This window comes from Homo sapiens, chromosome 2, assembly GCF_000001405.40.
Source record: "Homo sapiens chromosome 2, GRCh38.p14 Primary Assembly".
Taxonomy (NCBI): Eukaryota; Metazoa; Chordata; class Mammalia; order Primates; family Hominidae; genus Homo; species Homo sapiens.
The window spans coordinates 37,271,718-37,284,122 of NC_000002.12; the positions used below are offsets into that span (position 1 = coordinate 37,271,718).

The following is a 12,405-nucleotide window of genomic DNA, read 5'->3' on the forward strand; positions in this document are numbered from 1 at the left end:
GATGATCTGACACGGTTCATTCCGAAACCATCTCCCAACCCCCTACCTCCGTGGAAAAACTCTTCCACAAAACCAGTCCCTGGTGCCAAAAAGGTTAGGGACTGCTGGTCTACAAAGCCTAAGGTACTTACTAAAAAGTTTACGGAAAAAGTTGCTGACCTGTTATAAAACCCTCAACATACCTACATACACCAGCCAACTTAATTTATTCATAATTCCTTAAGAGTCCATTTCCTGCTTCCCTGTTTGTTCATCCTAGTGCTCCTGTACTTGCATGAAAGGTTGTTCCCCAACCCTCATCCATTCAGCACTTCTGTCAGTAATCCATTCCATCCTTTCAGGTATAGCTCAAATTGCACTTCCTTTAGGAAGCTTCCCCTGCTGACCCCACAAGAAGTAATGTCTGCCTTCTCTTTGAACCAGTCTTATCACTTTGTAACACTGTAATGTAACTTTTTCTAGTGAAAAAGTTAGCTTTATTTTTAATTTTAAAAATCTGCCCTAGTTTCCTCTATAAAGCAGAACTCCTTAGGGAAGTTACCAACCGCAAAGTCTAGCCTAGTACTTTGGGCGATGAACCAATTTCTCTAATAAAGATTTTCACCTTTTATTTTCCTTATTTTAATCACCCAGTTTACACATTAGCTATAACGATTACTTACCACATTCTCCTGAATCTGACAATTAGATACAGAGATACTTGTAGACAAATCTTCTGTAAAATATAAAAAAGACAAAATTTAGTATATGACAATATTATTAATCTTTACTGACATGTGAATGCTCATGGTATATCAAACTTTAAAAAGTTTAGCACACAGTTAATACAATTATGTACATTAACAAAATCTACACATACAACCCATCAACAGGAAACTAGATAAAATATGATACATCCATACAAAAGAATACTATCTCAACATTTAATCGATGATGTAGGACTATAAATACTGAATCAGAAAGTCAGAAAGCTAGTTATGATTATTACTGAGTTAAAAAGGGAAGTTTTACTGTAATCCCAGTGCATTAGGACGCTGAGGCAGGAGGATCACTTGAGCCCAGGAGTTTGAGACCACCTGGGCTACAGGATACCCTATCTCTAAAAAAATTTTAAAATTAGCCAGGCATAGTGGTGTGCACCGGTAGTCCTAGCTACTCAGGAGGCTGAGACAGGAGGATCTGAGCCCTGGAGTTTGAGGTTGCAGCAAGTTATGATTTGCGCACTGCACTCTCACCTGGGCGACATAGCGAGACCCTGTCTCTTGGTGGGGGGAGGGGGGGAAGTGGAGTCAAGGGAATTGCAGGGTAGCAGTGCTTAAATTAAAAACAAAAATCTGTGATTACTTTTGGTGAGTGGAAGAGGTGGGGTTGGGGGACAAAGAGTTTTTATACACTTCTAAATTGCTTGCATTTTTATAATTTTATAATGTTGTTTTTTGGTACTTTAATACATTTATTGCCTGAAATAAATCACCTCATTTATCTTTTAAAGAGTGTGTAAGTGCCTGTATTGTTTTCTGAGGAAACAGTCCTAGTTTTAATTAGAATGACATAGAGTTCTGTCTAAAAACCTCGAAAACTTAAGAACCACTGTGAAACATCCATCTACTTACACCCATTCCAACCCCAAATCAGTACTGAACACCAAACATGTACACAGTTGTCATGATCCTCATCACACTTGTCTCAACTAAATAATGTTACCCCTCCACCCCTCCCACTGAGATCTGCCTACTGTATTTCTACCTGAGGTTCAAATCAGGTTCTTCTATGAAGTCTTGTTTACTCTTCTGTCTGTATCTGAGTTTTTTAAGTAATGTATTCCTCACTTTTGCACTGTACTGCTTTATGCTACCATCTAATACCTTTATATATCCCATCTCTCCCTAAAGAGCTTTTATGATTTCTGTATTTATTTTGTATTTTAGCTCAGGGCCTAGCATAATAGTTGTACAAAATAATACAGCTAAACTAAAATAAACTACCTTTGGAAAGTTGTTGATACTTATTTCAATTTGAGTATATTTCTCAAATGAATGACTTATGTGTCCCCATAAGCAACATAATGTTAATGGGGGAGAAGTGACATTATAGTGACCTTTCGATTGTTAACTGTTTACTTTTGAAACTTTATCCAATTTAGGCTTAATTATATAAGTTTTGTTGGTGCAAAACATGTTTCAGTGATTTTTAAATATTTCTGTATGTTTTAATACAGCATTTCTGACTTCACAGATTTCATGAGTGTGATGTGAACCATAATACTTTATTGCCTGTTTATATCCCACTATAAAGCAAAATATTAATACCAGTAGCAGGCATAATCCAATGAGACTTTACGGATGCCAAGCACTGTTCTGTATCTTACAGGTTCTCTTTCATTTAATACTGACAACCTTATGAAGTACTTACTACTACAGTGAGGTAAAGTACTTGCCTGATCATATAACAGATGGTATAGCCAGGATTTTCATGTAGGAAAACTGACTCTGGAGCCTAGCACTGGGCATTGTATGTACGTATATATACTATAACCAATATAATTTTATAAAAGAGTTAACTAATTGTATTGGTTACTAAAGTATTGGTTACTAAAGACTAAGCTTAGGATGAACATTAAAAGGAACAAAGGAACACAACCATACCCACAAAATGCTTAAGAATTAAAGAGGAGAAAAAGCCATCAAGAAGTTTATTGCTTACTGTGATCTTTCCCTTGCCCTGGAGAAGTGCAAACACTTGCTTGAGGAGTAACAGGCATGAGGGCTTGGCGAATTGCTTTTTCCCAGCTCTGTGCTACATCAAGTCCAACTCCAGTGGCAGCAAGAACAGGATTATGAGAGCTGTCCCCATTGTTCTCACCAACGAAGTATACCATAGTATCAGTAATGATTTCAAAACAGTGTGGATTGCTGCCTTGTGAAATGTTTGTGAAATCTCGTGGTGAAGATATGCGGAGAATTTCTGAAAGTGGAATTTCCTGAAGTAAAAAATTAAGCATTGAAAAATAAGAATAGATCTTTGTTTTTATTTTTAAATACACTAAAGAACCAGAGATATGCATTTCAATGAATGCCATTAAGACGGACACAAGTATGCAACATTTAATACACAGTTGAGTCTTATGACATGGCCTGTCTTGAATGAGCTGCAATGTCCAGCAATGCCAGACGCAGAGCATGGACTATGATAACTAAGCCAGTAGCAGATCATTAGGATGCAAGGAAGAAGATATAGGAGAGTAATCTGCCACTATATCCAACACTTGTAACTTCCAACTGTCATTAATTCAGCTTCACAACTACTTATCTAGTGACTGTAGTCTACAAGATATAGCCCCAAAGCAAGTAAGAAGCAGAAATAATGGCAGAAAAAGCAGAATCTTGGTCAGTTGTTTAAGCCACTCCCATTCTGGTTCTGTCCACTGGAGTAACCTGTAGCAATCATTATATTTTTAGTCCACTTCCTAAGGCAAAAAAAAAAACTTACTAAAAACAAACAAACAAAAAAACACCTGCTCAAAGCAAGCCATTAGTTCCCATTCTCTCTTACTGACCTAACTGCTTGGTTATAATCTTGCTTGCTATCAGTTTGTGATGTGGCAAAACGTGGAATAAGCCAAGCAAGGAAGACTGTAAAAAGGAGATTAAGAGCCAAACAAGCAATTGGGAATTGGCACCCAAGGTAAGGTGGAAGGTGGGAGAAATACTAAATACCTCACTGACCTCTTCTGGACAGTCAATGATGATGGGACTTTCTAAGCAGTCTAATCTAAATCAGAGTATCCAGAAGGAAAGCAGCAGCAACCTGACAGGCAAGCCAGAAATAAATAAATACACGACAACAACAAACAGTCTGGAAGGAGAGCTGCTGTGGGGGAGTGAAATTTGGTATGGGAAATAGTTGCTTCAACAAGGAACCTAACAGTGACTTCTATAAACCATACTAGCTAGAGTCATATATATTCAAATATAACAGTTAATGAATATTATCTGAAAAAAACATACACTATCTTAATGCTTATATTTTTTAAAGTGTAAAATCCTTACCTTATAATACTTTGATCCAGATTCATTCTGAAATAATGTTAGACATTTGCTGTCAAGTCTCCAATAATGCCTCTTTCTCTATAAAATGAAGATTGGAAAACTGTGAGGTTCAAAAATGATTCCTCCAAAGTGCTTGTACCTAACTTTTCCCTTCATTTACATTCATAAATTTGTATTTTTGAATAACTTTAAGATTCATGAGGTTCAAAATTCTCAAGATATAAAAAGGATGTATGGTGAAAAGTATCACTTCCACCATCACTCATCCCCACTCCTCACCCTTACTCCAGGCAAAGCATGTTATCAGGTTTCTGGGAATCCTTGTAGAGAATTTCATACATGCACACATGAATACATATATATATATGACACATACACACACACACATAAAAATATGTAATTTACCTATAGGCTATATTTCTAGAAGTTGATTTGCTGGGTCAACAGACATGTGCACATGTAATTTTGCCTGATAGTGTTATATTATTCTACACAAGATTTGACCCAATTTATAGTCTCTTCAGCAACGTATGAGAGTCCCTAGTTACTCACACCCTCATTAATGCAGTATGTTAATAACTTTTTGATCTTTGCTATACTGAAAAATAAACACTGGTATTTCAGTGAAAGGTTAAAGTGATATTCCTTTTATTATAAATGAAATCAAGTTCTTATGTGTAAGAGTCATTTGTATTTCCTGTGAAACTCTCTGTTCATATTCTTTGTCCATTTTCCTATTGCGTTATGTTCTTTTTCTTATCAATTTGTTGGCATTCTTCACATCTTATGGAATTAACCCTTGTTTAGAATGAGCTGAAAATATTTTTTCCAGTTTCTCATTTGTCTTTGCTTTTGGATTTTGCCACATATCATTTTTTAATGAGATTGAATTTATTGATCTTTTATTCTTGAATTTGTAAAATAATTCTCCCAAAGTTTCTTCTGTTTAATTTCTTTACACTCAAATCTTTGATACATTTAGGTTTATTATGTATAAAGTATGAGGTGTGTGTATATATGTATATATACACACACACACATACACATATATATACATATATATTCATATATATACATATATATAACTTTATTTTTTTCAAAATGGCTAGATGCTTGTCCCAACACCATTTACTGAATTAACTACTTTCCCCATTAATTTGATGTAAAAGCACCTTTGATATACCATTAAATTCGCAAAGGTAGGCACACCACTTCAAGTTACATTCGCAAGGATATGAACTATAAATAAAACACATACACACTGCAGTCTATACTGTTGTTATCATACAAAACTTTAGGCCAGCTAAATGTATTGGGTACTTCATTTTATTCTTAAAAGGTTTATTAGAAAGCTTGTTTCAATAATCTACTCAGCAGACTTTAAAAATAAAATACTAGCTACTAACATTTATTGAGTGTTTCTGTATGCCAGACACTGTTCCAAGATCTTCTCATATATTAACTGATTTGGATTTATTAGGTGGTTACCATTATTATGCCAATTTTACACAAGGAAACAAAAGCATAAAGAAACTAAGTAACTTTCCCAAGTTCATATAGTTTTATAGTAAGTTACAGAGACTTAGGCAGTCTAGCTCCAAAGTCTGTGTTCTTAGTTATTACACTACGCTGATTCTTCAAATCTATTGTCTTTCTACTAGAATGTCATCATTCCTCGTCTTTGCTGGATCTAAAAAAAAACGTTGCACATTTACACTAAGTTAAAGTCTACATAAAACCAAACATGCTTCCTTCCTATCTTTGGTAATAAGATGACTTTTTAGATGAAGTCTTAGTTCCTTCTATCTCTATTTGTGGCTCCACTGTGTTTCGAGTTAATTATTTTTTATTGTGGAACAATCCCAGATCCTTTTTGAATATTGACTGCTCTACCAGTTTGTAAAGACAATACATTAAATATTCTGCCTGTTAAAAATTCCTTACAAATTTAACTATAATTCCAGTGCATCTTTTACAAATTGCTGTGGTGTATATAATGTCTTAATATGTATCTCATCATCATTTTGATTTAAAAAATGCACAGAATGAAACTCATAACAAAGTCTTACTAGCATATTCAAATGTATTTGATTACTGACCAGGTTATCCCTGCTGGTGTAATGGACCATCCACCCTTCCTTCACCATTGTGCTGCTCTTCCTCTTTGTGTGCTTGATGGATTGTACAACCCTCATTAGCGGAATATTATTGCTTGTTGATGGACTAAAAAATATTTAAAATTTGTAAGTTTGTGTAGATTTTTAAAAAATCATATAAATACTGTAGGAACATGAAGCCTTTTTAAAGACAACTGAGCTAAAATTTTTCAAAATATCTTAGTAAAATAAACAATGGCTGAAGAAAAATTAATCCTGTTATGATGATACATAAAAGATTCTATTTTAAGCTAATATTTTAAATCCTATTTACTTGTCATGAATGTTTTCTGGAGGGCCACAAAAAAAAAAATTAAAAACAATGAGCGGAATAGAAAGTACCCTCCCAAACTGGAATATTTGGAGCCCAGGAGAGGTTCTCATTTGGGCTTGCTGTTGAAGAGTTTTCCTGCCCTAGGCAGCATGATGGACTAGCAAATCCACAACAAGGCAAAATACAACTATATATATAACTCGAATTCACATGGCTCAAATATCAAATCCAGTTAATCATGTTGTTAGCAAAATGTACTTCTACTAGAAGGTATTTAAAGGAAAATGATTTACAGATACTAATTAAGAAAATGTAACAAGTCAAATCAGCACTGAAACATGGCTCAATAAAATTTGGGATGTATGCATAAAATACACTGTTTTGAAATGTGAACCTCAAACAGTTAAATACTTTCTTTTTTAAACTATGAAGTATTCATGATTAAGAAACTAGCTAGGTTCACCGGGCGCAGTGGCTCACGCCTATAATCCCACCACTTTGGGAAGCTGAGGTGGGCAGATCACAAGGTCAAGAGATCGAGACCATCCTGGCCAACATGGTGAAACCCCGTCTCTACTAAAAATACAAAAATTAGCCGGGCGTGGTGGCAGGTGCCTGTAGTCCCAGCTACTTGGGAGGCTGAGGCAGGAGAATCGCTTGAACCGGGAGGCAGAGGTTGAAGTGAGTGGAGATTGTGCCACTGCACTACAGCCTGGCGACAGGGCGAGACTCTGTCTCAAAAAAAAAAAAAACAGAAACCAAAAACCAACTAGCTGGGTTCTGGAATAGTCTCCAAAATGGCTAAACAAAGATTTTGTTAATAATGTTAATGATAGTAATAACTGTTATTTAATGATAAGCCAAACTGAATAAATGACAACTCAGCCACCTGAGACTGAAATAAATGACTCATTTTCTTTAAGTAACTCTTTGTTTCCAATGAAAAACAAAACCTGCCAAAATGGGGACATTTTGCTACAAGGTAGTATATCATTTAGGCTACAAAAATTGAATTTCTATGAACATAGTGGCATATTTAGAATGGTTTTACAGTCTAATAGTATTTTTACAAAATGCTAATAGTCGGATTAACTGTGGCAATATGAAAACTGCCCTAAACTTCATCACCATTATCCTTGTGCAACATCTTCATGAGTATATTCTTTATTGCCATTTCTACTACCAGTTAAAGCTGCCTGTGTGAAAAACAGGTTGCTTTAACTGAAAGTTCAATACTGACACCTTGCAGTGGCTGTTCCACAACTAGGTTTTACATCTAGACCACACTTAAAGCATTTTTCTTTAAGAACAAAAAACAAAAAACGAAAAAAAAAAAACAAGGATTCTCATACCTCCCCATCTTGAGTGGATGGCAAGGGTGATATAATTTATTTCAGAAATACTACATTGCATGTAAAAGAATTAGCCACAATTTATTTAGATTTTAAATTACTTTTAAGGTCCCACTTAAAGAGACGTGGCTTTTTCTTAATGAGATCCTGAACTGACCTTGCATCTGGAAGTAGCTTGTAATATGTATATATATTACCTGATTGTTTTAACGGCTTCTTCATCTCTTTCCACATCGAGATCAGATGGATCCAAGAAGAACATCTTATCTTCTGGGGGTGATGGCTCTTCTGTGTCATCCAAACCCCGACTACTATCACTATTTATGTCATTATTGTCAATATCCATTGGTATATCTGTATCTGTTCCCAGACTGGAAGGTTCTGGGAAAATTTTAAATGAATTTCAGAGTTTTATATTAATAGAGGAAGTCCATTAAATGTGAAAAAAGTCTTAAGAGTCTTAAAATGTAAGAAAATATCTTTATGAGTTAAGTAAAGTATTTCTCTTTTTTTTTTTTTTTGAGATAGAGTTTCACTCTTGTCACCCAGGCTGGAGTGTGATCTCGGCTCACTGCAACCTCTACCTCCTGGGTTCAAGCGATTCTCTAGCCTCAGCCTCCTCAGTAGCTGGGATTACAGGCGCCCACCACCATGCCCAGCTAATTTTTGTATCTTTAGTAGAGATGGGGTTTCGCCATGTTGGCCAGGCTGGTCTCGAACTCCTGACCTCAGGGGATCCACCCACTTCGGCCTCCCAAAGTGCTGGGATTACAGGCGTGAGCCACCACGCCTGGCCTAAGATAAAGTATTTCTTAAAGAAGATAAAAAATACACAAATCATAAGGCACAAAGTTAATTAATTTGATTACATCAGAATTTTAAATTTCCACATGACAAAAGATACTATAAATGCGGATAAGCCACCACCATTATGGTCAACTGATTTTTGACAAGAGTGTCAAGAAAATTCAACGGGCAAAAAATAGTCTTTTAAGTAAATGGTGCTAGGATAACTGTATATCTACATGCAAAAGAATGAACATATAAATCATATATAAAAATTAACTCAAAGTGGATCACATAAAAATCTAAGAGCTAAAACTATAAAACTCATAGGAGAAAGCATGAGAGTAGATTTTTGTGACCTTGGTTAGGCAAAGCTTTCTTAATACACCAAAAAGATAAGTGACAACATAAATAAATAAATAAATTGGATTTCATCAAAATACAAAACTTCTGTGCTACAAACAACACCTTACGAAGTGAAATGAAAGCCCATAGAATGGGAGAAAATATAAGCAAATCATATGCCAGATAAGGGACTAGTATCCAGGGTATTTAAAAATTCTTACAGCTCAATGAAAAATAAACAGATAAGTAACCTAAATGGGCAAAGGATCTGAATAGGTGCTTTTTTCAAACAATATATAAAAATGGCGAATGAACACATGAAAAGATGCTCAATATTATTAGCCACCAGGGAACTGCAAATGAAAACTACAATGAGATACCACTTCGCACTACCTAGGATGGTTGTAATCAAAAAGATATACAATAACAAGTGGTGGTAGGGATGTAGAGAAATCAGAATCCTCATAAACTGCTAATGTAAAATGGTGCATTTCTTTGATTACTAGTGAGTTTGAACATCTCACTAGTAATCAAATGCACATTAAGATAAATATAAATGGTGTTTCGTATCCATTTGTTATAAGGTAGAAAAACACGAAAACACAAATACATGAAGTATAAATTTATAAAAGACTTTAGTCATAGACAAACTATACTAATTCAGATTAACCGAAAGAGAAAACCAATCATGCTCTGTCAAGGTGTTAATCAGTGCTATGGTATGAATGTTTGTTCCCCTTAAAAATCTTAACTCCCAAGGCAAGGGTATTAGGTAGTGGTGGGTCTTTGGAAGGTGGTATCTTTGGGATGGGTGCCCTTATAAAATATGTCCACAGGAGTTCCTTCTCCCATTCCACCATGTGAGAATGCAACTACAAGGTGCCATCAACCAGGAAACGGACCCCCCTCACCAGACACAGAATCTGCCAGTGCCCTGGACTTCCCAGTCTCCAGAACTATGAAAAATAAACTTCTGTTGTTTATATGCTACCTAGCCTATGGTATTTTGTTATAGCAGCACAAACAGACTAAGACAACCAAGAACCACAGAAAACAAGCCACAAGAGAAAATGTTAATTAAACTCTCCCCAAGAGAATTTTCATTCCTTTTATGCTTTTCCTTTTACAGAACTACTTACATAAAATTTTTACCAGTCATGTAAATTGTTAAAGGAAAATTATGCTGAAAGTCTAGAGTCCTTACTGCTTCCTTCCAAAAAAAGGTAACTGCCTTGCTTAGTATTATCTTGAAAAGAAAAAAAAAGACCCCAAAGGGAAAATGGACAACGATTATTTGACAGAGAAAGGGACAGTGAGGCAGTATAGTGTGTTCTAATCACTAGGGACTAAGGAACCAGACCATATGGGTTTAACTTCCAGCTCTGCCACCTACTGGCTATATTTCTGGGGCAAGTTATTTCATGTATTTGTGCCTCAGTTTACTCATCTCTTAGTACCTACCTCAAAGGGTTGTTCTTAGGTTGAAATGTCAATATATTTAAAGAGTTTAGAACAGTGCCTGGTATAGCAAGCAGTTAGTACATATTAGAACTATGAAAGAATAGAGACAAGAGCAGGGTTTTAAAACAAGTTCTTTTATGTCTAAAAATGAAAGAGGATATGGAGTACCACTGGCTATATTAGACTACAAAGTAACAGGTGGCCAGAGGAAAGACGGGAAGGCGTGATTACTAATAAATGTATACTGTCAGTGGTCTGTGTATTTTGTTTGATTATTAAATCAGAAGAAAATCTTTAAGAAACAAAATAAATCAGGAAAACAGAACCTTATCCAAAGATAATACACCAAAGAATCATGGCCTTTTCTGATCTTTCACAAAAATTAAGAAAAATAATTTTACCTCCATTGAAAGTAACCTCTCCAAGGCAGTCTCTTGGTACTTTTGATGCACAGCGTTTATGGCAGTTGAATTTGCAATCTAAAATGAAAATATTCAGCATATTAATTTATGTAAAAGTCAAGCAGTATCAGATATGGTTAGACTTTCTTTAAATCACTCACAAACAGAATATTATTAGTAATGATGATATTAAAATAATAACCACCTACAAGTCACTTTAGCACCCCTCTGCACCCCCCCATCATTTTCTTCATTTGTATAATGAGGCTAATACCATGTGTACAACACCGCCGAAATGTACTGGCAGCTCCATATTTCCTTCTCTTATGTCATATTCATCTTTCCACATCTCCCATGAGAGTTTCTCAAGCTGATTAAATTCCTATCCAACATATGTCAGATACATACTTTCAATTCCTAAGAATCAGGACCTAATGTATATGCAGGAAAGAGACTGAGATCCAACAAACATTTATGAGGAACCTAATAAGGGCTTTCACATACAACCCTGTGAGGAAGGACTGAGTTTCTCCAGCACAAGGCCTCCCACTTTTACATAATGGTTCTCTTCAGCCTAAAACAAACCTCAGAGTTGATAGCATTGCAGATCAGTGTCAGGTACAATCTGTCCAAAATTACTGTATAACACAGTGGCTCTCAAACTGTGGTCCCAGATCAGCTTCATTAGGAAACTTGTTAGAAATGCAAATTCTTGCGCCCTATCCCAGACCTACTATATCAGCAACTCTTAGCGGGTGGGGAGGGTAGGGCTGAGCTCTGTAAGTCATACTGAAGTTGAGACCCACTGGTCTATGTCTAATACCACCTTTGAAATGCATCTATGAGTAATAACTGGGTAAAAATAACTTTAAGTCCTGACTTAGAATGTTTTTGTAACCCTTGTGAGTCAAGAAAATCCTGGGTATCATGCCAACAGCACAGGCTAAAGATCATTATATGACATAAGCCCCATGAAATGTATAATTTGGTGGAGAATAAAATTTACTTTAAAACACTATCCTTGTTAAGACAGGCCCTAGGGAAAATTCATGTGATATTAATATTATCTTGCACTACCTCTTAAACAATAGATTTGTGTTTTATCTCATGAACTTTGCAAACTGTGAAAACAACAAGGTTTCCATTTTCCCTTTGAAAACTCAGGCCGGGTGCAGCGGCTCACACCTGTAATTTCAGCACTTTGGGAGGCCAAGGCAGGTGGATCACTTGAAGCCAGGAGTTTGACACCAGCCCGGCCAACGTGGCAAAACCCTGTCTCTACAAAAAAAATACAAAAATAAGCTGGGTGTGGCAGCACCACTGCACTCCAGCCTGGGCGACAGAGCAAGACTCTGTCTCAAAAAAAAAAAAAAAAAAAAATTCAGAGCCGAATTTGTGGACTACCTGCAAGTATGTAGGTTTGAATGGCAGGCAGGCAGTTTTAGTTCTCTATGTCCTTACCCATGTTTTTATTAATTTGCTTATGCTCTCTTATACTTTACATACGCTTTTAAGCTACCTTGAAGTTTTTACACATCAAAATAGAAAATAAAGACAAACAGATTAATGAATTCTTAGAAT

The 12,405-nt window shown here is 35.8% G+C and overlaps 1 protein-coding gene across 9 annotated transcripts in view; it reads right to left on the bottom strand.

Moving 5' to 3' along the window:
• PRKD3 (protein kinase D3) overlaps positions 1-12,405 on the bottom strand; it is a 74,332-nt gene that overhangs the window by 21,216 nt on the left and 40,711 nt on the right. For all 9 annotated transcript variants that reach the window (XM_005264238.4, NM_005813.6, XM_047443853.1 and 6 more), the window contains 6 exons: positions 10,825-10,902; positions 8,029-8,212; positions 6,149-6,272; positions 4,050-4,127; positions 2,704-2,980; positions 663-715 (listed from right to left, as the gene is read on the bottom strand). In XM_005264238.4, coding sequence (XP_005264295.1) covers positions 663-715; positions 2,704-2,980; positions 4,050-4,127; positions 6,149-6,272; positions 8,029-8,212; positions 10,825-10,902 — 794 coding nt within the window. The remainder of the gene's footprint in view (positions 1-662; positions 716-2,703; positions 2,981-4,049; positions 4,128-6,148; positions 6,273-8,028; positions 8,213-10,824; positions 10,903-12,405) is intronic.